This window comes from Homo sapiens, chromosome 5, assembly GCF_000001405.40.
Source record: "Homo sapiens chromosome 5, GRCh38.p14 Primary Assembly".
NCBI lineage: Eukaryota > Metazoa > Chordata > Mammalia > Primates > Hominidae > Homo > Homo sapiens.
The window spans coordinates 63,665,909-63,692,792 of record NC_000005.10 but is presented as its reverse complement, the minus strand read 5'-3'; the positions used below and the strand labels follow the sequence as shown (position 1 = coordinate 63,692,792).

The 26,884-nt window shown below is 37.5% G+C and overlaps 1 long non-coding RNA gene across 4 annotated transcripts; it reads left to right on the top strand.

The window, feature by feature from the left end:
* Positions 1-2,132: 2,132 nt before the first annotated feature.
* LOC107986416 (uncharacterized) lies at positions 2,133-6,733 on the top strand. 4 transcript variants are annotated; one of them, XR_001742675.2, is made up of 3 exons: positions 2,133-2,514; positions 5,139-5,285; positions 5,476-6,733. It is a non-coding gene; the product is annotated as an uncharacterized LOC107986416 (long non-coding RNA). The 4 variants fall into 4 exon arrangements; XR_001742673.2 differs by having other exon boundaries at positions 5,139-5,309; positions 5,530-6,733; XR_001742674.2 differs by having other exon boundaries at positions 5,139-5,309.
* Positions 6,734-26,884: the final 20,151 nt, after the last annotated feature.

Genomic DNA, 26,884 nt, shown 5'->3' with positions numbered 1-26,884 from the left:
AAAGAAACATAACAAATTATTAAATACTGCACAATCCTTCTGTTTCTCTTCCAAGTTTCTATTCAGCCTCCTTCTCAAGTGTGTACACTATCCAGACTTCTTATATCAAAAATTAATTTTGCCTGTTTTTGAATCTTTTATAAGTGGAATTATAGAGTATTTGAATTTATTTTCCTGCCTTCTCAAGCCACAATATGTTGCCTGTGAGATGCACATGTATTGCACATGTATTTTATTCATTCTGTTCTGTATAATATCCTATTATATGAAGATACATTGTCCTTTCTTCTGTTGATAAGGATTTGAGTTATTCCTAGTTTTTAGCTGTTGTAGACAGTTAAAACAATCTTGCACAACACTTGTAGTGCAAATATGCTCTTACTTGTGTTAACTATATACCCAGGAGTGGAATTGCTATTGTCATAAAGGTTTCATAGTTGATACTAATAGCTTTCCAGCATAGTTGTGCTGATTTACTCCCCTGCTTTCAGTGTATGGGATCTCTAGTTGTTTTATAGCCTTGCCGGCATATGATATTTTCTGTTTTTAAAACTCCATTCAGAATGTGTTTTATATTTTTTTATCACTGGATTTGGTTGGCTAATGTTGTGTGTAGAATTTCTTTTCACTTATGTTTATGTTAAAGATTTTCCTTTCTTGTTCTGTTCTTTTAAAGTTTTTGTGTTAAGGTTTCATTGGCATTGTGAACAATTACAAAGTGTTGCTTTTCCTTCTATTCAATGAAGATAGAGAGTTAACTGTTTTGAAGAAATGACTGCTAAAGCAATCTGGGCCAAAAGTTTTCTTTTTGAAGGGTTTGAATTACGGATTTAATTTATTTAATAATATTGGACTACTGAGATTTTATATCAATATGCTTTTGTTTCTATTAATACCATGCAACCCTTTGGGAATCCCTACCGAAAGACTTCTGTTTATCAGAGCGTTTCCTTCTTGGCATACCTAGATCCCCAATTTTTCTTCGCCCGCTCCTCTGTGATTGTTAAGTGCTCTGCTCAACTTCTAAACTCCTCAAGAGCCATTTTAGGATCTGTAAAGGCCTTTGGTTAAAGTTTCCTCAAATGTTAGTTTTACCTCTCTGCATTTGTCATCTCCCTGTCTTATCAATTCCTTCAAACAGTGATTTTACATCTTTTATTCATAGCCTCTAGACGTTTTTGGTAGAAGTTTGGTCTGATATAAGCTAATCCATTATAGCCAGAAATAGGCAATTCATGCACAGTTTTCAATCAGCAGAAACAAGATTGCAACATATCTTAGTTTGTGTCAACATGGCACTACATAGAACCTTAAATACTGCACAATCTTTGTTATCCTTGCACAAAATCCCAGTAAGCTATCTTTCTTCAGAGATAACTTTCTGCTTTGATACTCTTTCTTAAGCAATTGCACATTAAAAAAAAATAATAGCACTGCAGAATCCTGGTGCCATTTAAAACTGATCTGTCGTACAAGCATACTTTATATATCCTAAGTGAAATGTGTGGGCTATTTATTTTTCCTCAGGCAGACTATAAAACACACTTAATAGAATATTTTTATACACAAATAGAATGTGGATTCCTCTTGCATCTTTATCAGGATTTTTTCAAATAATTTTATATTTGCTTTTGAAAAGATCTAAATAGCTTTCAAAATTAGAAAGATTGGTCACGTATCAGATTTCTCCTGCAGAACTAACTCACTTTTCTTTTCTTGCTACCTCCCTATGTAAACCATTTAGTGCCAAAAAACTGATGATAGAATCAGCATTTTTGAAATGTGCTTTTATCCCCATGCCCACTTCTTTGTTTATACAGTTGACCCTTGAACAATACGGGGATTAGGGACGTAGTCTCATGTAGTCAAAAATCAGTGTATAACTTCTAAGTCCCCTACAGCTTAACTACTGTTGTGGCAGGCCAGGTTTCCATTAGCAATCAGAACAGTCAGTTTCTACTAACCCTTTACTATAACTCTGATGAATGTATAAGTTAAACATTAAAGAACCGGAGAAGGTGGTACCTAAGTACAAGGACTGGAATGCAAAAACAAACCCATTGAGACCCCAGACCCTAGTTAAAGATTAGAAGTAGATTGAATGAAACACTCTTGCTTGTAGGTGCACTCCCACTCATAGACAGGGAGCTTAAGATGTATATAAGCACTAGAAAAAATCTTCTAACCTTGAGTTGGTCTGGTGAGTTACTCTGACCTTCTCCTTGTAACTGGTTGCAGAAATAAACTCCCTTCTTTCCCAGTCTGCCTGCATCTCATTATTGGATCACCAGGACAAGCAGCCAGGCCTCATTCTGTCCGGGAGCAAATCTGGTAACTCTCCCAGGAGAGCTCAGCAGCCAGCGGCTCGCAAAGAGGTAGTCTTTGGGTGACCCCCAGCAGCTGCCTGGTATGGTTTGTCCTGGGGACTCTCCTGAGGACCTTTCTGGCTGCAAAGACTGCCCGTCTCTCTATTACTGGGAAAGAATAGAGATTGGGAGCAGTTGCACTCAAAAGGTGAGTAAAATTGGATCCTAAGCCAGGAATCTATTATTTCCTCTATTTGGGCTCATGTAGCCATTTGTTTGGGTACTACTGAGGAAATAGTAAGACTCCTTGGGATAACCTGCTTTGCATTTGTTTGAGGAATTTATTTACATTTGTTTTTGAAAATTTGTTCTGTTTGTCTGATATTTATTAAGTTTAGAATACTCAGTATGGGCAACACTGCATCTATACCTACAAATAGTCTTCTAGGGAGACTTTTATCAGATTGGAAGCACTTTGGTTATCTACCACCCATGACTGAAAGAAATTAATCTTCTATTTTGACACAGCCTGGCCAATATGTGTTTTGGGGTCTGAGGAACAGTGGCGGGTTTTTGGATCTTGATATTTTCATACCATTTATCAATTAAAATTGCTCTGTCAGAGGTCAGGCAAGTGGGGCAAAATACCTTACATCCAGATATTTACGTTGCTGTATAATAAGGATGCTAAAGAAAAAGGAAATAAGTTAATGGTGCAAGGCACTGCGAAGGTCTGTCCTGACACCCCAGGGGAGGAAGAGAAAACGTCTGAAACCCAACAGTTAATACCCTGAACCCCATAGTAGCTACTGCCCAGCTCAGGAAAGAGAGGGAATGTCACCCTCAGAGTACGGGGAGGCAGCAGGGCTATTGTTTCCTCCGTGGACTAGGCAAGATACTAATTTGGCTGGGGAGTCCCCAGGTCTGGAGATGGGCAATTCCACTAGGATAATATCCAGTAGGAGTCAATCAGCAAGGAGCTCCAATGGGATATTATTGGGCTTATAATACCAAAATATTGGCTGCACACTGTCCTTCCTGGGCAGAGGTGCATGCAGGCTCTTCTAAACATGCTCATGGCAGATGAGTGGTGGCTGGTTTTAAATGAAGCAAAGGAAGAGGCACAATACCTTCATGATGAACATCCAGATCCTGATGGGGCAATTCCCTGCACAGAACTAAACTGGAATATTTTAGAGGACATACATCCCAGTGTAGCTAACCCTGGGATGTTATGTTCATTTCTCTCCCTGGAGATCATAAATGATTTACAGTATTGGATTTGAAATATGCTTTCTTGGCTGGGCACAGTGGTTCACACCTGTAATCCCAACACTTTGGTAGGCTGAGGTGGGTGGATCACTTGGGTCAGGAGTTTGAGACCAGCCTGGCCAACATGGCGAAACCCTGTACTAAAAATACAAAAATTAGCCAGGTGTAGTGGCAGTCGCCTGTAATCCCGGCTACTTGGAAGGACGAGGCAGGAGAACCGTTTGAACCTGGGAGGCGGAGGTTACAGTGAGCTGAGATCATGCCATTGCACTCCATCCTGGGCAACAAGAGTGAAATTCTGTTTCAAATAAAAAAAAAAAAGAAATATGCTTTCTTTTGCATACCCATAGACACAGAAAGTCAGTTGTCGTTTGCCTCTGAATGAACAGATCCTGAAGCATCAGCAAGGTTTCATTATTATTGGACTGTGCTCCCACAAGGATTTTAAAACTCTCCAGCTGTATTTGGAGAAGCATTGACTCAAAATTTAAGGAGTTTACAATTGAAAAATGGGGTACTGTTACAATATGTGGATAATTTACTAATATCTAACCCTTCAAGATGGGAATGTCAGAATAATACCATTAAAACTCTCAACTGTCTAGCAACCTCTGGGTATCAGGAAAGGCTCAAATATGCCAACAAACTGTGGAATATTTTGGTTTCCTCTTACAGAAGGGAACCAGAGTTTTAAAGGTGAAAAAGCGAAACACAATCACATCCATCACAGCATTCACTACCAAAAGATAGCTGAGAGGATTTGTAGGCATGGCAAGGGCTTTGTCGGGTCTGGATTCCTAACTATGGACTGCTGGTAAAACCACTATATGAACTGTTGAAGGGAGCTAACAACAACTCCTTTGGAAAACAAACCACCAGCAGACATTTGAATAACTAAAACATAAGTTGACCTCCACCCTAGCCCTGGGGCTCCCAAATTCTCACAAGCCCTTTCAACTTTACATGCATGAGAGATTGGGTCTAGCACTAGGGGTCCTTACACAAAAATTAGGATAAATAATGCACCCAGTGGCTTACTTTTCTAAACAACTGCATACTATGGCCAAAGTCTGGCCCCTTTGCTTAAGGGCAGTCGCTGCCACATGCCTGCTATTAAAGGAAGCTGAAACGTTGACTGTGAGACAGCCTATCATGATCTATGTGCCTCGCCAGGTGCTAGTGTTACTAGAACAAAAGGGAGGCTATTGGTGGACACTAGGGCAGGCTGGGCAAATACCAGGCCACACTCTTAGATAATCCCACAGTGAAATTGCAGACTGCTAGCGTCTTAAACCCAGCTACATTACTTCTCTCTACCAAAGAGCCAAAAGAACCTATAACTGTTTAGAAATTATTGACCAGGTATTTTCCAGTCGCCCTCACTTAAAGGACACAGCCCTTCCACAGGCAGACTGGATATTGTGGATGGGAGCAGCCTGGTAACCAATGAAAGAAGGAATGCTGCATATGCTGTGGTAACCTTTTCAGAGGTAATAGAAGTAAGGACTTCACCAATAGGAACCTCTGCACAGAAAGCAGAACTGATTATCTTTACTACAGCCCTGCAGCTAGCTGTCCCAAGTAAACAACGCTCTTGGAGTAAATTGGAAACTCACACAGCATGGAAACCACAACCTTCTGGACAGACTGAAAGGATGAATCAAACACGAAAACAGTGCCAAACTGTGCCAACTAAAATGGATTCAGGTACTCAGCATTGTACTGCTTTGGGTAAGTGACCCCTAGAAGTGGGATGAGGTTAAATCCCTATAAAATTATAAATGGGAGACCCTTTGCTGCTAATCTGTCTTGGGTTACTTGGGTACCTCTTAATAGAAAGCCAACTATTAAACACTATGCTACTCACTTGGGACAAATACTTAATGTTTTGCATAAGCTTGCTTGCAACAGGAGTATCGTAAACTCAGCGAAACTGTGTCACTTGTACCAGCCTGGTGATCAAGTGCTGCTGAAAGAATAAAGAGAAATGAGCCCAAGTCAGCAGCTACAGGAGAAATAGAAAGGGCCCCATGACATGCTGCTGACTACCAATTTGGCAATGAAACTGGCTGGCATCAAGCCATGGATCCACCACATGCCCGTGAAGAAGTTCCTGCCGGAGGAAACATTCATGACACAGGACACCAAGGCTGCCAAATGGGAGACAGAACCCCTTGAAGGCCTAGGATTTCTGTTCAAAAGATGATAAAGTATTGTTTTACATTGTTACATTGCTGCTTTACATTGCTGCTGTTTTACATTGTTATTTCTGCGTACCTCTAACCTTTTCCTACAATGGGCAAAGGTTATGCAAATAGCTTACAGCAAGACTCTTGCTGGGTCTGTGCTCTATTACCCCTCTCTGGCACCATGGGGCTGCCTTGGTGCATCCCCCACATACAAGGAAAAATTAGGTTTATAATATCTTGATTTTGTAGAACACCTTCCTGGTGGCAGAAAATTCTTCTTGTCCTAGCTGCCTTCCTGGGCATGAGCATAATACTATGTTGTGAACTATATTATTGTTATATGCTGTTCCAAAACATTCCTCAGGCTCACAAGATCATGTCTTATCAGGCGCTGCCTTTGAGTCTCTAAAGCCAGAAACATTACCAGCACCAGATAGACATCTTCCACTCTAGCACCCCTTGATGACAACCCTCTTCAGCAGGAAGTAGATGGAGGGAATGCATACCCACTTTCCCTTAGTCGGCTATGTCATAGTTTACACTTTTGCACTAGCCTTTTAACAAACCAGTACTTGAAAAAATTAACTAACATGCTAGAAATCACGTACAAATTGACAGTGGGGATTGTGGCAGGCCAGGTTTCCATTAGCAACCAGAACAGTCAGTTTTCACTAATCCTTTACTATAACTCTGATGAATATATAAGTTAAACATTAAAGAACTGGAGAAACTGGTCACTAAGTACAATGGCTGGAATGCAAAAACAAACCCATTAAGACCCCAGACCCTAATGATTAGATACAGATTGAAAGAAACACTCCTGCTTGTAGGTGCACTCCCACACATAGGCAGAGAGCTTAAAATGTGTATATGCACTAGAAAAAATATTGTAACTGCGTTGGTCTGATGAGTTACTCTGACCTTCTCCTTGTAACTGGTTGCAAAAATAAACTTTCTTTTTCCCCAGTCTGTCTGCATCTCATTATTGGACTGCGAGAACAAGCCACCAGACCTCTTTCTGTCCGGGAATACAGTGAACCCAATATATCTGAGACAGGTCTGTCAATTTAGAAAGTTTATTTTTCTAAGGTTAAGGACATGCCGGTGACACAGCCTCAGCAGGTCCGGACAACATGTGCCCAAGGTGGTCGGGGTACAGCTTGCTTTTATACATTTTAGGGAATCATGAGACATCAATCAATATGTGTAAAACCTACATTGGTTTGGTCAGGTAAGGCAGAATAGCTTAAAGTGGGGGCTTCTGGGTCAGAAGTACATAAGACACAAAAGGTTGCATTCTTTTGAGTCCTAGATCAGCCTTCCACTGAATATACAATTTAGTCTGGCTCAGTGAATATGCATTTTTATGTAAATGATAGGGCAGAAGAAGCAATCAGATATGCATTTGTCTTAGGTTAGCTTCAGAGGGATAACTGTGAGTTCTGTTCTTTGTCCACAAGAAGTTTCCTTGTGGGCAAAGTGAGGGAGGTATGTAGCTTCTTACCTTTGTAGCTATCTTGTTTTGGAATAAACTGGGAGGCAGGTTTGCCTGATATATTTCCCAGCTTGACTTTTTCCTTGGCTTAGTGATTTTAGGGTCCTGAGATTTATGTTCCTTTCACACTACTAATAGCCTACTGTTGACAGGAAGCCTGACTGATAACGTAAACAGTCAATTAACACATATGTTGTATGTTATATGTATTATATAGTATATTCTTACAATAAAGTAGTTTACAGAAAAATGTTATTAAAAAATCATAAGGGCGAGAAAATATATTTACAATTCATTAAGTGGAAATGGATCATCATAAAGGTCTTGATTCTACTCTTCATATTGAGTAGGCTGAGGGAGAAAAGGAAGAGGAAGGGGGTTTTTGCTGCCTCAGGGGTGGCAGAGGCAGAAGAAAAGCTGTGTGTAAGCAGACCCTCACAGCTCAAACTCATGTTTTTCAAGGATCTACTATACTATTAATTCATCCTGGAATATATTCCATTTCTAAAATTATTCATTAAAATGCTACACATTGGATAAGAATAAGTTTGAGTGGCACAACCCCTATGATTGCTCTTATAATCATTTGTCTACTTTGAAAGAAAATGACCTATAATTCTGCATAGCACACATAAACTTCCTTAGCATAATGTTATACCTCACAACTATTGTGTATCTATGTTATTCCACACATTACTGTAAACTCCTTAAAGACAGGAACCTGCTCCTAAATAGCTTCTTGTCACTAAAGTGTTTTGCTTATAGTAGCTATTCACTCATAATGAAGTAAAATTATGAATTTCAAAGACATTTAAAGTTAGATGCTGCACATAGTGTGATTATATTGATGACTTTTATTTTGTGCCTAGAATAGAATTCTACAGATTTGGGGGAATTCTTTGTAAAGATTAAATATAGTAATTCTACAACATAACAGAAACAAAACTAAGAATAGAAATACAACCTGAATATTGCACACATTAATTCTTGGGTCACCATAATTTTAAGAAAATACTGTGACATTAATTCTCACTATAAATTTGTTCATAATCAATTGGAAAAGCCCCTTTCCTTGTTATGATTATTTTGTTTTTGTTATGATTTTTCAATCCTCCTCACTCATATCAATCCATTGAAAAAGTGGTAACTAGGCTGGGCACGGTGGCTCACGCCTGTAATCCCAGCACTTTGGGAGGCCGAGGCGGGTGGATCACCTGAGGTCGGGAGTTTGAGACCAGTCTGACCAACACGGAGAAATCCCGTCTCTACTAAAAATACAAAATTAGCTGGGCGTGGTGGCGCATGCCTGTAATCCTGGCTACTTGGGAGGCTGAGGCAGGAGAATAGTTTGCACCCGGGTGGAGGAGGTTGTGGTGAGCCAAGATCGCGCCATTGCACTCCAGCCTGGGCAAAAAGAGTGAAACTCCGTCTCAAAAAAAAAAAAAGAAAGGAAAAGAAAAAGTGGTAACTGTAAGCTTCCCTGGAAATGCCTAAGCCTTAGCACTATTCTACTGAAAGAACTTATCTAAGGCTGTAAAATCTGTGTGACATTTTACAAGAATGATAACTTAAAGCTTCAAGCTGTTGTCTCTGAAATTTTTAATATACATTAGAGGGTAGAAGTAAGCAAGTCGGTACATTTTGGCTCGACAATCGTTTTTTTTTCAATGACAACACATTTTTATTTTTAATGGTACTTATTTTTGTAAACAGAACAATTAGTCCTACCAAGGACATACACCAAGTACAGAAGAACTGTCCTCACAAAGCTAGCAAACAGCGTCCATATCATGCAAGTCATTTTCTACTGACATGATAATGGGTGATGGAGTCTTGCTAAATGTTACAGATCCCATTGATTTTTTTACAAGTTTTCCCACCTGCCAGTACTCAATCAGTATGATATTTGTTTAAACATTTTGTGTTCTTTCTGTAACTTAGAGTGATACCAGTTACAAAAATTCAGCAGTCAGAATTTTACTGACAATTTTTCCTTTGAAACATGGTACAGAAGGAAACCCAGCTTGCTCCGCCCCAGGTGCATTTGCTCTGTCATGCCAAAAGAGCATAGCATAAGATATGATTGTCAGTTAAGGAAGCAAATAGAATTCAGAGATACCCAGGGGAAAGAAAATGTTGACCATGCGAGTAAGACTGTTTTTATAATTACATTTTTAACTATAGCTATTCTTAATGGAAGGAAAGAACAGCTAGGGAAGTCACTGGAATACCAAAATGCAGATTTATTCACTGCATAAATAATATAGTGGTTTATTAAAGACTGAGACCCTATAAGTAGCCTTACACGGGCTTAAGAAGATATTGTTCTTCTAGGCAACCTGGAAGTACTTTTAAATTTTCTCTATTAGGTAATGAATGCCACTTATGTTTATTATTATTAAATTAGACTGACAGTATATTTGATCTCAGTTTACACACAGACTCTTTATCATATTTCTATCCTTTTGGTATTAAGTGTGTATTATTATTTACTTATTTTTTTGAGATGGAGTCTCACTCTATTATCCAGGCTGGAGTGCAGTGGCACAATCTTGTCTCACTGCAACCTCCGCCTCCCAGGTTTAAGTGATTTTCCCGTCTCAGCCTCACGAGTAGCTGGGATTACAGGCGCCCGCCACCATGCCTGACTAATGTTTGTATTTTTAATAGAGATGGGGTTTCACCATGTTGGCCAGGCTGGTCTCAAACTCCTGACCTCAAGTGACCCACCTGCCTTGGCCTCCCAAAGTGCTGGAATTACAAGCGTGAGCCACCATGCCCAGCCAAGTGTGAATTGTTTAGTACATATATGTTCAATTTTTTTAAAGAAAATGTCCAATAGTTTTCCAAAGGTGTTGCACCATTTTATACTTTCTTCAAAAGTGTATGAAAGTTCCAGTTTCTTCACATCTTGACCAGAATTTAATATTGTGTTTGTATGTGTGTGTTTAACTTTTAGCTATTCTAATGATTGTGCAGTGTTATCTCATTAGAGTTTTAATGGGCATTTCCCTGATGACTAATGGTGTTGTGCATCTTTTCATGTGCTTATTTTGCCATTTGTAGATTTACTTTTCTGAAAATTATTCAAATCTTCTGCTTATTTTTATTGGGTTGTTTGTCATCGTTTTAGTAACTAGTAAGAGTTATTTTTATATTATGGATGCAAGCCCATTATCAGACAGATGCATTATGAATATTTCTCCCCAGTTGGGCTTGCATTTTTAATTTCTTAATCAAGTATATCAAAGACTTAAGTATATCAAATTTTAAAATACTTACATTTAAAAATACTTATATTTTAAAATTTGACTAAAGCAAAATTATATATTTTTCTGTTATAGTTTGTGCTTTTAGTGTCCCTTTTAAGAAATCTTTCCCTAATCCAAGGTCCCCATCAACCTGCTTTTATTTATTTTCAGAGTCCTCTGGTTGCTGCCTTTGAATTTTGTCTGGAATTTGGTGGTAATTATGGGTAGAGCTAGGCTAAGTGGACTTTCTCCATCTTGAATGCTTATCTTCTGATAGTATTAATATTTTTGAAACACTAGGAACAACTAAAAAAGAAATCTACTTGGGTAAAGGAAATCCCTACCCTCACTTAATTAAGGTAATCTTTTTTGAGAGAATAGAACTTGAAAACTTTGAAAAAAATTTAGACAAACGTATAACTAGAATAACCAATACAGAGAAGTGCTTAAAGGAGCTGATGGAGCTGAAAGCCAAGGCTCGAGAACTACGTGAAGAACTCAGAAGCCTCAGGAGCCGATGTGATCAACTGGAAGAAAGGGTATCAGTGATGGAAGATGAAATGAATGAAATGAAGCGAGAAGGGAAGTTTACAGAAAAAAGATTAAAAAGAAACGAACAAAGCCTCCAAGACATATGGGACTATGTGAAAAGACCAAATCTACGTCTGATTGGTGTACCTGAAAGTGACGGGGAGAATGGAACCAAGTTGGAAAACACTCTGCAGGATATTATCCAGGAGAACTTCCCCAATCTAGCAAGGCAGGTCAACATTCAGATTCAGGAAATACAGAGAATGCCACAAAGATACTCCTCGAGAAGACCAACTCCAAGACACATAATTGTCAGATTCACCAAAGTTGAAATGAAGGAAAAAATGTTAAGGGCAGCCAGAGAGAAAGGTCGGGTTACCCACAAAGGGAAGCCCATCAGACTAACAGCTGATCTCTCGGCAGAAACTCTACAAGCCAGAAGAGAGTGGGGGCCAATATTCAACATTCTTAAAGAAAAGAATTTTCAACCCAGAATTTCATATCCAGCCAAACTAAACTTCATAAGTGAAGGAGAAATAAAATCCTTTACAGACAAGCAAATGCTGAGAGATTTTGTCACCACCAGGCCTGCCCTAAAAGAGCTCCTGAAGGAAGCACTAAACATGGAAAGGAACAACCGGTACCAGCCACTGCAAAATCATGCCAAATTGTAAAGACCATCGAGGCTAGGAAGAAACTGCATCAATTAAAGAGCAAAATAACCAGCCAACCTCATAATGACAGGATCAAATTCACATATAACAATATTAACTTTAAATGTAAATGGACTAAATGCTCCAATTAAAACACACAGACTGGCAAATTGGATAAAGAGTCAAGACCCATCAGTGTGCGGTATTCAGGAGACCCATCTCACATGCAGAGACACACATAGGCTCAAAATAAAAGGATGGAGGAAGATCTACCAAGCAAATGAAAAACAAAAAAAGGCAGGGGTTGCAATCCTAGTCTCTGATAAAACAGACTTTAAACCAACAAAGATCAAAAGAGACAAAGAAGGCCATTACATAATGGTAAAGGGATCAATTCAACAAGAAGAGCTAACTATCCTAAATATATGTGCACCCAACACAGGAGCACCCAGATTAATAAAGCAAGTCCTTAGAGACCTACAAAGAGACTTAGACTCCCACACATTAATAATGGGAGACTTTAACACCCCACTGTCAACATTAGATAGATCAAAGAGACAGAAAGTTAACAAGGATACCCAGGAATTGAACTCAGCTCTGCACCAAGCAGACCTAATAGATATCTACAGAACTCTCCACCCCAAATCAACAGAATATACATTCTTTTCAGCACCACACCACACTTATTCCAAAATTGACCACAAAGTTGGAAGTAAAGCTCTCCTCAGCAAATGTAAAAGAACAGAAATTATAACAAACTGTCTATCAGACCACAGTGCAATCAAACTAGAACTCAGGATTAAGAAACTCACTCAAAACCACTCAAATACATGGAAACTGAACAACCTGCTCCTGAATGACTATTGGGTACATAACAAAATGAAGGCAGAAATAAAGATGTTCTTTGAAACCAATGAGAACAAAGACACAACATACCAGAATCTCTGGGACACATTCAAAGCAGTGTGTAGAGGGAAATTTATAGCACTAAATGCCCACAAGAGAAAGCAGGAAAGATCCAAAATTGACACCCTAACATCACAATTAAAAGAACTAGAAAAACAAGAGCAAACACCTTCAAAAGCTAGCAGAAGGCAAGAAATAACTAAAATCAGAGCAGAACTAAAGGAAATAGAGACACAAAAAACCCTTCAAAAAATTAATGAATCCAGGAGCTGGTTTTTTGAAAGGATCAACAAAATTGATAGACCGCTAGCAAGATTAATAAAGAATAAAAGAGAGAAGAATCAAATAGAAGCAATAAAAAATGATAAAGGGGATATCACCAATGATCCCATAGAAATACAAACTACCATCAGAGAATACTACAAACACCTCTACGCAAATAAACTAGAAAATCTAGAAGAAATGGATAAATTCCTCGACACATACACCCTCCCAAGACTAAACCAGGAAGAAGTTGAATAGATGAATAACAGGCTCTGAAATCGTGGCAATAATCAATAGCTTACCAACAAAAAAGAGTCCAGGACCAGATGGACTCACAGCCAAATTCTACCAGAGGTACAAGGAGGAACTGGTACCATTCCTTCTGAAACTATTCCAATCAATAGAAAAAGAGGGAATCCTCCCTAACTCATTTGATGAGGCCAGCATCATCCTGATACCAAAGCCAGGTAGAGACACAACCAAAAAAGAGAATTTTAGACCAATATACTTGATGAACATTGATGCAAAAATCCTCAATAAAATACTGGCAAACCGAATCCAGCAGCACATCAAAAAGCTTATCCACCATGATCAAGTGGGCTTCATCCCTGGGATGCAAGGCTGGTTCAATATATGCAAATCAATAAATGTAATCCAGCATATAAACAGAACCAAAGACAAAAACCACATGATTATCTCAATAGATGCAGAAAAGGCCTTTGACAAAAGTCAACAACCCTTCATGCTAAAAACTCTCAATAAATTAGGTATTGATGGGATGTATCTCAAAATAATAAGAGCTATCTATGACAAACCCACAGCCAATATCATACTGAATGGGCAAAAACTGGAAGCATTCCCTGTGAAAACTGGCACAAGACAGGGATTCCCTCTCTCACCACTCCTATTCAACATAGTGTTAGAAGTTCTGGCCAGGGCAATTAGGCAGGAGAAAGAAATAAAGGTATTCCATTAGGAAAAGAAGAAGTCAAATTGTCCCTGTTTGCAGATGACATGATTGTATATCTAGAAAACCCCATCATCTCAGCCCCAAATCTCCTTAAGCTGATAAGCAACTTCAGCAAAGTCTCAGGATACAAAATCAATGTACAAAAATCAAAAGCATTCTTATACACCAATAACAGACAAACAGAGAGCCAAATCATGAGTGAACTCCCATTCACAATTGCTTCAAAGAGAATAAGATACCTAGGAATCCAACTTACAAGGGATGTGAAGGACCTCTTCAAGGAGAACTACAAATCACTGCTCAAGGAAATAAAAGAGGATACAAACAAATGGAAGAACGTTCCATGCTCATGGGTAGGAAGAATCAATATCATGAAAATGGCCATACTGCCCAAGGTAATTTATAGATTCAATGCCATCCCCATCAAGCTACCAATGACTTTCTTCACAGAATTGGAAAAAACTACTTTAAAGTTCATATGGAACCAAAAAAGAGCCCACATCACCAAGTCAATCCTAAGCCAAAAGAACAAAGCTGGAGGCATCATGCTACCTGACTTCAAACTATACTACAAGGCTACAGTAACCAAACAGCACGGTACTGGTACCAAAACAGAGATATAGATCAATGGAACAGAACAGAGCCCTCAGAAATAACGCCGCATATCTACAACTATCTGATCTTTGACAAACCTGAGAAAAACAAGCAATGGGGAAAGGATTCCCTATTTAATAAATGGTGCTGGGAAAACTGGCTAGCCATATGTAGAAAGCTGAAACTGGATCCCTTCCTTATGCCTTATACAAAAATTAATTCAAGATGGATTAAAGAGTTAAATGTCAGACTGAAAACCATAAAAACCCTAGAAGAAAACCTAGGCAATACCATTCAGGACATAGGCATGGGCAAGGACTTCATGTCTAAAACATCAAAAGCAATGGCAACAAAAGACAAAATTGACAAATGGGATCTAATTAAACTAAAGAGCTTCTTCACAGCAAAAGAAACTACCATCAGAGTGAACAGGCAACCTACAAAATGGGAGAAAATTTTCGCAACCTACTCATCTGACAAAGGGCTAATATCCAGAATCTACAATGAACCCAAACAGATTTACAAGAAAAAAACAACCCCATCAAAAAGTGGGCAAAGGACATGAACAGACACTTCTCAAAAGAAGACATTTATGCAGCCAAAAAACACATGAAAAAATGCTCACCATCACTGGCCATCAGAGAAATGCAAATCAAAACCGCAATGAGATACCATCTCACACCAGTTAGAATGGCAATTATTAAAAAGTCAGGAAACAACAGGTGCTGGAGAGGATGTGGAGAAATAGGAACACTTTTACACTGTTGTTGGGACTGTAAACTAGTTCAACCATTGTGGAAGTCAGTGTGGCGATTCCTCAGGGATCTAGAACTAGAAATACCATTTGACCCAGCCATCCCATTACTGGGTATATACTCAAAGGACTATAAATCATGCTGCTATAAAGACACATGCACACGTATGTTTATTGCAGCACTATTCACAATAGCAAAGACTTGGAACCAACCCAAAGGTCCAACAATGATAGATTGGATTAAGGAAATGTGGCTCATATACACCATGGAATACTATGCAGCCATAAAAAATGATGAGTTCATGTCCTTTGTAGGGACATGGATGAAGTTGGAAATCATCATTCTCAGGAAACTATCGCAAGAACAAAAAACCAAACACCGCATATTCTCTCTCATAGGTGGGAATTGAACAATGAGAACACATGGACACAGGAAGGGGAACATCACACTCTGGGGACTGTTGTTGGGTGGGGGCAGTGGGGAGGGATAGCTTTAGGAGATATACCTAATGCTAAATGACGAGTTAATGGGTGCAGCACACCAGCATGGCTCATGTATACATATATAACTAACCTGCATATTGTACACATGTACCCTAAAACTTAAAGTATAATAATAATAATGATAAAAGAAAGCACATAAATTCAGTAGGACAGTAGCATTTTCCTGTCCGGAAATTCTTTAAGTAATTTATTGTACAAGAAACATTAAGAAACATCCCTTAATAAGCCTTATTTTTTTTCATGGCACACAATACATTGTTCTTTATTTTTATGATACAGCTGTATAGTACATACATATCTTTAATTACTTCTTTAATGTTCATTTTCCCAATTAGATTGTAAACTCATGATAAGTGAAGGATTATTTCTTTTCTGTTTACCTCTCGAACCTGGCTCAGTTTTTACATAGTCAATGAATATTTATTGAATGAATGAATAAACAGCTTTGTTAAGGATAAAAAAAAAAAAGGTGTTCTGGAAGTGTGTGAAAATAATTTTGAGTATATAGGAAGCAGTGTATAATAAAAGTTCATATTTGGACTTGTTTTAATAAAGCCTTGCTTTTCCTTGTTGCTTGATTTATTGCCTGGTAATATATGACACCTAAAGAGAAATTCTTGTTTAAGACACAATACTAGTGTAAAATTCTATAATCCAGTCTAATTTGCATATTGTATTTCTTAAAGTATTCTTTCTCTTGTATTGTCTAGTACTGAAACCATAACCTCTTATACCAAATGTTCACTGGGTGAGAGTGGTGGGGACAGGAGGAGATGGGTAATGTGGCTTCTCCCATTTAGGACAGCATTTCTGCACCAGGGATTACCACATATTCTAAATCATTTTGTTGAGGAAGGCAAAGCCAGTACTCATCTTTTGCAATAGGACATCGGTGCCATTTGGATGGGCACTCAGAAGTCTGTTCATGAATTTATTTCATTCCAGGGCTCCTCAGAAGCTCTTGCTTCCTTTAAGACAGACAGAAGGATTTCATGTGGGTGGATACCAGTCCTAAGAGATTCTATTTGTGTTCCAAGGACATTAATCCATAAAAGTGTGTCTCTTGATTATCATTTTTGAGCAAGAGGTATGGATTTCATAAGAATATGTTTCTAAGAATGTAAATATTTAGAGCTTGCTCAGTTTTACTGTGTGTGGATGGGGGAGGTGTGGAGCTTCTGGAGGGACAGACACTTCTGCCATTATAGCACATGATGGAAGGACTATAAGGATAACAATACCAGCCTGATCAGTTTTCTAGTATATAACTCTGTCCATTACACAAAATGTTCACAATTTTCTGGAAAGCAAATTGCTGATCTCAGCCTAAACTATTTTTGATTGAAAGGGACCAGAATCTAGGCAACATAATGAGACCCTGTCTCTACAAAAAAATAAAAATAAAAAATTGGCTCAGTGTGGTGGCACATGCCTGTAGTCCCAGCTACTTGGGAAGCTGAGGTGGGAGGATAGCTTGAGCCCAGGAGTTCAAGGCTGCAGTGAGCCATGATTGTACCCCTGAACTCCAGCCTGGATGACAGAGCAAGACCCTGTCTCAAAAAATAAATAAATAAATAAAATAAAGGATCAGTAGCAAGTCTATTAAATCTTCCCAAATGTGTTTCAAATGTTAAAATGAAAAAATGAGTGCTTCACAATTTTATTTATTACTTAGAGGTTTCAAGAAATATACTACAAATGGTATTTTTTTTTGCTTTTAAGTCATTTTTAGGCGAATGGGAATTCTATATGTAATAGTAACATAATTTCTAAATGACGTTTGATTACTGCTGAAGGGTTTAGGGACTGGGAAATATATATAAAAATATAAATCGCTTATAATACTTTTCTTGGTTTTGAAAAATAATGAGGCTACTTTCTCTTGACCATGCTTCTCCTGAGTAATACCTCTTTTTTTTTTTCCTTGATGAAGATCAATGTAATAACCTAGACTGGCAGCCATGTGTTTCACGATCTCTGTTTTTGATTTTTATCTTCACAAGTAAAAAGAGACAGTTTGTTTCCCAGATGGCAGAGCTCCACAAATGCCACAGTGTAGTTGAGTTATATATACATAACTAATTCTTTTTTAGTCATGATCAATATTATTCCCGCTAAAGCAGGTATTCCATGTACTTATAATGGCAAGAAATTCTAAATCAGTGATGCTTAGAGATTCCAAGCCACATTAACACTTTTCTGCTAAGTTTTCATTTTTAAAGTGGCCAAGTTTTTTAATGTCTCATATTATCTGTTTTGCAGTGCAGTAGGGAGTATGTCTCACAAAACACATGCTTTTTATATACTGCATAATTGTCTGCCATACTTTCTCCTTACCTAGCACATATGCTAAGGGCAAGAATTTATTGGAATAATCCTGAAATGATCTATTTCCTGCCCTTCCTCTTCTAAAGCCCCATAGACAAGATGGACACCAGACCCAGAGGACTTCACTAGTGACATATATATAAACTTAAGTAATAATTCTAATATGTACAAACTTGTCTAGAGAATAGCAAAAGAAAGCATAATAGCAAAAGCTAGAAAGAATGGTATGAGGAAGATAGATATATTTACAATCTTATGTGTGAATAAAGAGGCAAAAATATCCTCAACCAAATAGCCATAATAATCTTAGCAATTTGTTTTTCATTTCTCAGAACAACTCAATGGAAGTCTAATATTTAAAGTTTGTTTCTTCTGACCACAACCTCTGGGCTTTTCACTTCTCTTGGTCTTTTATGTCTTTGAGTTTCATCTTGACTTGGTTTCATGATGGTCTCTTGATGTCTTCCCTTTTATGCCATTCTACATCCCTCTATCATGTCACTGGCCTCCCTAACCTAGACCACATGTTGAATTACTTCTGAATGCTTATCTTCTTACTTTTTGTAAGAACAAATTGGGAATCATGTTAATTGATTCTTGCTATCTGAAAGATTCTTGCTATCTGGTTTTAAATTGGACTTCAAATATGCTTTATAATCATTTTTTAAAACCTCTATTTCCAGAAAGCCATCCATAATGGACTACAATGCATTCACTAAACTTTTGTCTCTAACGTTTTTCTCCTTTCGTGTAAATTTTGGCTACTCTCCTGTGTTTAATTTATCCATATATGTAAATTCTCCTATTGCTGTATTCATAAATTAGGCCTACAAATATTTAGAATCACATTTAGAGGCCTAATAGTTATGCCTAACAAGACATTTGGCACATGCTTTAAAAGCAACATGTTTCCAATAATATTCATTCAGTCTATTTTTAACTTACTAATATGTGTTATTTCTTTTTTCTCCTTTTTCCCCCTGAGCCAAAGCACTGTGGGGCCATTAATTCTACCTCTGGAATGGTTCTTTGTCCTCCTCCTCCTTTCTGGTCTCACTCTGACAAGCCTGTGCAGGCCTGCTTTGTTTCTTTTCTGGACAACGTAATCATCTTTCAGTGGATCTTCATTTCAATAGCTTCTCCACTTCCAAAAGAATGTAACCCCAGAACAATCTTCTAAAATGAATCTGATTATTCAGTTCCTCTCCTTGAAAGCCTTCAGTTGTTCTTCATAGTCTGTCCAATGATTTTTTTAAATTCTTACCAAAAGCATTATTTTTTAAAAGGAAAACAAAAATTCTTAATAAAAAGCCAGAGATATCCTCTTTTTTTCTATTTAAACCTCAGGGGGTACATATGCAGGTTAGTTACATGGGTAAATTTCATGTCACTGAGGCTTGGTGTATGAATGATTCCATCACCAATGTAGTGAGCATAGTACCCTACAGGTAGCCTTCCAATTCACACCCCGTCCCCAACCTTCCCCCTCAAACAGTTCCCAGTGTCTATTGTTCCCTTCTTTGTGTCCATGTATATTCAATGTTTAGCTCCCACTTATACATGAGAACATGATATTTGGTTTTCTGTGCCTACATTAGTTCGCTTAAAAAAATGGCCTCCAGCTGTATCCACGTGGCTGCAAAAAAATATGATTTCATTCTTTTTTATGGCTGCATAGTATTCCGCAGTGTATATGCATCACATTTTCTTTATCCAGTCCACCATTGATGGGCATCTTGGTTGATTCCATGTCTTTGCTATCATGAATAGTCCTGTGATGGACACATGAGTGCATGTGGCTTTTCAGTAGAACTATTTCTTTACCTATACCCAATGGTGAGATTGCTAAGCCAAAAGGTAATTGTGTTTTAAGTTCTTTGAGAAATAGCCAAACACTTTTCCACAGTGGTTGAACTGATTTATATTCCAATCAGCAATATATAACAATTTCCTTTTCTCTGCAGCCATATCAGTGGGCTATTCTGGGCATACCCTTCTCTCTGTGATAACAGGGAATCAGTATGACAAAATCATAGCCATTTTAATCATTCTGACTTGTGTGAGATAGTATCTCATTGTATTTTTGATTTGCATTCCTCTGATAATTAGTGATGATGAGCATTTTTAAAATATATTTGTTGGCCACTTGTAATTCTTGTTTTGAGAAGTGTTTATTCATGTCCTTTGCCCATTTTTAATGGGGTTATTTGATTTTTGCTTCTTGAATTGTTTCAATTTCTATTCCATTATGGACATTAGACCATTTTCAGATGTATACTTTGCAAATATTTTCTCCCATTCTGTAGACTGTCTGTTTCCTTTGATGATCATTTCTTTTGCTATGCAGAAGCTGTTTAGTTCATTTTGGTCCCACTTGTCATATTTGTTTTTGTTGCAGTTGCTACTGGGGACTTAGTCATAAATTTTTTTGCCAAGACTAATGTCCAGAATGGTATTTCCTAGGTTATATTCTAGAGCTTTTGTTGTTTTTGGTCTTACTTTTAAATCTTTAATTCTTCTTGAGATAATTTTTGTATACAGTGTAAGGAAGTGATCCAATTTCAATCTTCCGCATATGGCTAGCCAGTTATCCCCACACCATTTATTGAATAGGGAGTCCCTTTTCCTGTTGCTTGTTTTTGTTGACTTTGTCAAAGATGAGATGATGGTAGGTTTGTAACATTATTTCTGGGTTATCTATCCTGTTCTATTGATCTATGTGTCTGTTTTTGTACCAGTACCATGTTATTTTGGTAACTGGAAATGTGTAGTGTAGTTTGAAGTTGAGTAGTGTGATGCCTCCTGCTTTGTTCTTTTTGTTTAGGATTGCCTTGGTGATTTGAGCTCTTTTTTGGTTCCATGTAAATAGTAGAATAGTTTTTTCTACTTCTATAAAAATGATGTGGGTAGTTTCATAGGAATAGTATTGAATCTGTAAATTTCTTTGGGCAGTATGGTCATTTTAACAATATTGATTCTTCCTATCCATGTGCCTGGAATTTTTTTTCATTTGTTTGTGATATCTCTGATTTCTTTCAGCAGTGTTTTGTAATTCTCATTGTAGAGATCCTTCATGTTCTAGATATTGTGTGTGTGTGTGTGTCTGTGTGGCAATTTTGAATGGGATTCAGTTTTCGATATGGCTCTCAGCTTGTCTGTTTTTGGTCTAAAAGAATGCTAGTGATTTTTGTACATTGATTTTGTATCCTGAAATTTTGCTGAAGTTGTTTATCAGCTGAAGGAGCTTTTGGACCAAGACTATAGGGTTTTCTATGTATAGAATCATATCGTTTGCAATCAGAGACAGTTCGACTTCTTCCCTTCCTATTTGGATACATTGTCTTTCTTTCTCTTGCCTGATTGCTCTGGCTAGGACTTCCAGTACTATGTTGAATAGGAGTTGTGAGAGAGGGCATCCTTGTCTTGTTCTGGTTCTTAAGGGGAATGCTTTCAGCTTTTGCCTGTTCATTATGATGGAGGCTGTTGGTTTGTTATAGACAGCTCTTATTATTTTGACATATGTTCCTTCAATGCCTAATTTGTTGAGGGTTTTCAACATGAAAGGCTGTTAAATTATATCAAAAGCCTTTTCTGTGTTATTAAGATAATCATGTGGTTTTGTTTTTAGTTCTGTTTATGTTATGAATCACATTTATTGATTTGCATATGTTGAACCAATCTTATAACTAGCAATAAAGCCTACTTGATTGTGATGAATTAGCTTTTTGATGTGCTAATGGATTTGATTTGCTAGTATTTGTTGAGGATTTTTGAATCTATGTTCATCAAGGATATTGGCCTGAAGTTTTCTTTTATTGTCGTGTCCTTGCCAGGTTTTGGTATCAGGATGATGCTCACCTCATAGAATCAGTTAGGGAGGCTTCCCTCCTCCTCAGTTTTTTGGAATAGTTTCAGTAGGAATGGTACCAGCTCTTCTTTTTACAGCTGGTAGAATTCAGCTATGAATTTGACTCATCCTGGGCTTTTTCTCTTTGGTAGGCTTTTTATTACTGATTCAGTTTTGGATTCATTATTGGTACATTCAGGGTTGCAATTTCTTCCTGGTTCAATCTTGGAATATTATAAATTTCTAAGAATGTATCCATTTCTTCTAGGTTTTCTAGTTTGTGTACATAAAAGTATTTGTAATAGTATCTGAGGGATATTTGTGTTTCTGTGAGGTCGGTGGTAATGTCCCCTATGTCATTTCTGGTTGTGCTTATTTAGATCTTCTCTCTTTTTTCTTTACTAGTCTAGCTAGTGGTATATTAATTTTATTTATTCTTTCAAAGAACAAATTCCCAGATTTGTTGATCTTTTGGATAGTTTTTCATGTCTCAGTTTCCTTTAGTTCAGCTATAATTTTGGTTCGTTTTTGTCTTCTGCCCTCTTGAGGGTTGGTTTGCTCTTGTCTCTCTAGTTTGACTATGTGTGGTACTAGGTTATTAATTTGAGATATTTCTAAGTTTTTTATGTGGGCATTCAGCTCTTAATCTTCCCTCTTAACACTTTACCTACTTTATCTGTGTCCCATAGATTTTGGTATGTAGTATCTTTGTTTTCATTAGTTTCAAAGAATTTCTTGATTTCTGCCTTAATTTCATCATTGACCCAAAAGTGATCCAGGAGCAGGTTGTATAATTTCCATGTAATTGTAGGTTTGGAGTGCTTTCTTTTCTTTTTTTAGTATTGATTTCCATATTTATTGCACTATATTTTGAGAGTGTGGTTTGTATGTTTTTTAAAATTTTCTGAGAATGGTTTTATAGCCAATTGTGTCATCAATTTTAGAGTGTGTGCCATGGGCAGATGAGATGGATCTGTATTTTGCTGTTTTGAGGTAAAGTGTTATGTAGATATCTGTTAGGTTCATTGAGTCAAGTGTCAAGTTCAGGTCCCAAATATGTTCGTTAGCTTTCTGTCTCCATGATCTGTCTAATACTGTCAGTGGGGTGTTGGAGTCTCCCACAATATTGTGTGGTTATCCAATTCTTTTCAAAGGCCTCTAAGAACATGCTTTATGAATCTGAGTGCTCCTGTGTTGGGTGCATATATATTTAGGATTCTTAGGCATTTTTTTATTATTGTTGGTTTAAAGTCTGTTTTGTCTCAAATTGGATTTGCAACCTCTGCTTTTTCTGTTTTCAGTTTGCTTGGTAGATTTTTCTCCATTCCTTGACTTTAGGCATATGGTGTCATTGCTTGCGAGATGGGTCTCTTGAAGACTGCATACAGTTGGGCATACAGTTGGGTCTTGCTTTTTTATCCAACTTAACACTCTGAGCCTTTCAACTGGGGCATTTCACCTGTTTTTGTTACCTTCAAGGTTAATATTGATATGTGCAGATTTGATCCTGTCATTCTGTTGTTAGCTGGCTATGATGCAGACTTGAATGCATCATAGGTGTTTTTGTGGTGACTTGTAATGGTCTTTCCTTTCCATATTTACCACCCCGTTCAGGATGTCTTGTAAGGCAGGCCTGATAGTAATGAATTCCGTTAGCATCTGCTTTACTGAAAACGATCTTATTTGTCCTTCACTTACGAATCTTTGGCTGGATATGAAACTTATTTGAAATATCTTTTCTTTAATGGTGCTAAATATAGGTCCCCAATGTCTTCTGGCTTATACGATTTCTGATGAAAGTTCTGCTGTTAACCTGATGGGGTTCCCTTTTTAGGTGACCTTCCCCTTCTCTTTAGCTGACTTTAACATTTTTTCTTTCATGTTGACCTTGGAGAATCTGATGACTATGTGTTTTGAGGATTGCCATCTTGTATAGTATAATACAAGGGTTCTCTGAGTTTGCTAAATTTGAATGTCAACCTCCCTAGCAAAGTTGGGGAAAAGCTTGTGGATGATATCCTCAAGCATGTTTTCTAAGTTGTTTTCTCTCCCTGTCTTTCAGGGATGGCAATGAGTCATAGATCTGGTCTCTTTACACAATCCCCTATTTCTTGGAGGTTTTGTTTATTCTTCTTCATTTATTTTTTAAAAAGATTTTCATCTTACTGGGTTAATTTGGACAGCAGTCTTCCAACCCTCAGATTCTTTCCTCAGGTTGGTCCCTTCTTCTGTTAATATTGCAATTGTATTATGAAATTACTGAAGTGAGTTTTTCATCTCCATCAGATCAGCTTGCTTCTTTCTTAAAATGGCCATTTTGTCTTTCAGCTCCTGTATCATCTTGTATTCCCTAGATTCCCTGGATTGGGTTTCAACATTCTCCTTAATGTCAATGATCTTTGTTCCTATCCATATTCTGAAGTCTATGTCTGTTATTTCAGCCATTTCAGCCTGGTTAAGAACCACTGGTGGAGAACTAACATGTTTATTTTTTAGGTAAGAAGACACTCTGGCTTTTTGGGTTGTCAGAGTTCTTGCACTGGTTTTTTTCTTATCTGTGTGGGCTGATGTTCCTTCAGTCTTTGAAGCTGCTGTCCTTTGAATTAGGTTTTTTGCTTTTATCTTCTTTGATGTCCTTGGAGGTTTGATTGTAGTATAAGGTGGGTTTTGTTGACTAACTTCATTTCTGGAAGATTTTAGGGGGCCAAGAGTTAACTCAGCTCTCCTGGGCCACATGCTCTGATGCTTGGGGGCTGACACCAGGCCCATGGCTTTGTTTTCTGGCCCCTTGAGGTTAGGAGCCTGCTGTGCTGGATGGTCTTAGGTATCCCCATTCAGCTGGCCACAATACTCTGGTGGAGGGGTACCAGCCAAAGTGCTTTGTTGAGGCAGTGGCAGTTGGATCCATGCTTGCTCATGCATGCCAACAGCTGTAGCAGTGTGATAAGGTGCATGTGCATTGTCTGGGAAGGAGCATCTGCAGAGGTGCAATTGCTAGCATTTGCGCTAGTATTTGGGGTAGGAGTGGTAGTAGGGACAGGGTGTTGGTGGGGTTGCCCCAGTGCCTCTGCACATGGTTGCACCTGCAGCAGTGATGTAGCAGGGGCAGGGTTGCTGGTGCCCATGTACTATGCACTGGCAGTGGTGGTGGCACAGCAGGTGTAACATTGGGCATTTAGCATGTTTTGAAGGTTTACCCATGTTGTAGCATATGTCAAAACTTCATTCCTTTTTATGGTTCGATAATGTTTCATTGTATGTGTACACCACATTTTGTTTATTCATTCATGTTTTGATGGACATTTGGGTTGTTTCCACCTTTGGGCTACTATAAATAATGCTGTTATAAACACTACCTAAAGATAGGTGGTATACAACTATCTTTATTAGTCTCTGTTTTTAATTCTTTTTTGTATACACATAGAAGTATAATTGCTCAGTCATATACAATTCTGTTTAACTTTGTGAGGTTCCATCAAACTGTGTTTCTCAGTAGTTACATTATTTTACATTTCCACCAGCAATGTATGAGGGTTCCAATTTCTCCCCTTTCTTGCAAACACTTGTTATATTGTGCTTATTATCCTTATTATAGTCATCATAGTAGCTGTGAAGTTGTACCTTATAGTGGTTTTGATTTGCATTTCCCCAAATGCATTTGGGCATTCTTTCATGTGCTTTTTGACCGTTTATATAACTTCTTTGGAGAAATATCTATTCAAGTTATTTACCCATTTTCTAATTGGATTCTCTTTTTTTTAGTTGAGTGGTAGTTCTTTATGTAGTCTTCATTCTAAACTCTTATCATATATGAGTTACAAATATTTGCTCCCATTCTGTGGGTTGTCTTTTTACTGTCAATAGTATCATTTGTTGCAAAAATTTTTTAGATTTTATTGAATTTCATTTAATTATATTTTCTTTGGTTGCTTGTACTTTTGGTGTCATATCTAAGAAACAATTCCCAAACCAAAGTCAAGAAGATTTGCTTCTGTGATTTTTTAAGGAGTTTTATAGTGTAAGGTATTAAATTTAGATCGTTCATCCATTCTAAGTTAATTTTTGTATGTGGTGTGAGGTGACGATCTAAGTTCATTTTGGTATGTAGATATACAGTTTTCTCAGCACCATTTGTTGAAGAGACTATACTTTTCCTATTTATTAATCTTAGTACCTTGTCAAAAATCAATTGACCATAAATGTGAAGAGTTATTTCTGGATTCCTAACTCTATCCCATTGGTTTATCAATCTATCCTTATGCCAGTATCACACTGTTTTGATCACTGTAATGTTGTAGTACATTTTGAAATCAGAAAGCGTGAGAGTTCTTCAACTTTGTTATGTTTCTTCAAGTTTGTTTTTGACTATTCTGTGTCCCTTGAAATTATGTATGAATCTTAGAATGGGATTTTTATTTCTCGAAAAATATCATTGGGATTTTGAAAAGAATTATTTTGACTATGTAGATTTCTTTGGGTACTATTGCTGCCTTGACAATATTAAGTCTTCCAATCCATGAACATAGGATATCTTTCCATTTATTTGTGTCTTCTTTAATTTTGTTTTGCAATGTTTCTTTGTTTGGTGTACACATTTTGTACCTTCTTGATTGAATTTATTTCCAAGTATTTTATTAGGCTATTGTCAATGAATTGTTTGCCTTAATTTTTTTTCTGGAATGTTCATTGCTAATATATAGAAATACAGCTGATTTTGGTGTGTAAATTCTGTAGCCTGCAACTTTGCTAAATTTATGTCTTAACTCTAACCGTTTTGTATGTGTGTGTGCATGCTTTAAGGTTTGCTACATAAAAGATCATACCATCTGAAAACACAAATGAATTACATCTTTTTATTTTTGATGCTTTTTACTTATTTTTCTTGACTAATTGTTTTGGTTAGAACTTCCAGTACTACGTTGACTAGAAGTGGCAAACATAAGCATCCTAATCTCTAAGGGAAAAAGCTTTCAGTCTCTCACCACTGAATATTATGTTTTCTATGGGTTTTTCATTTATG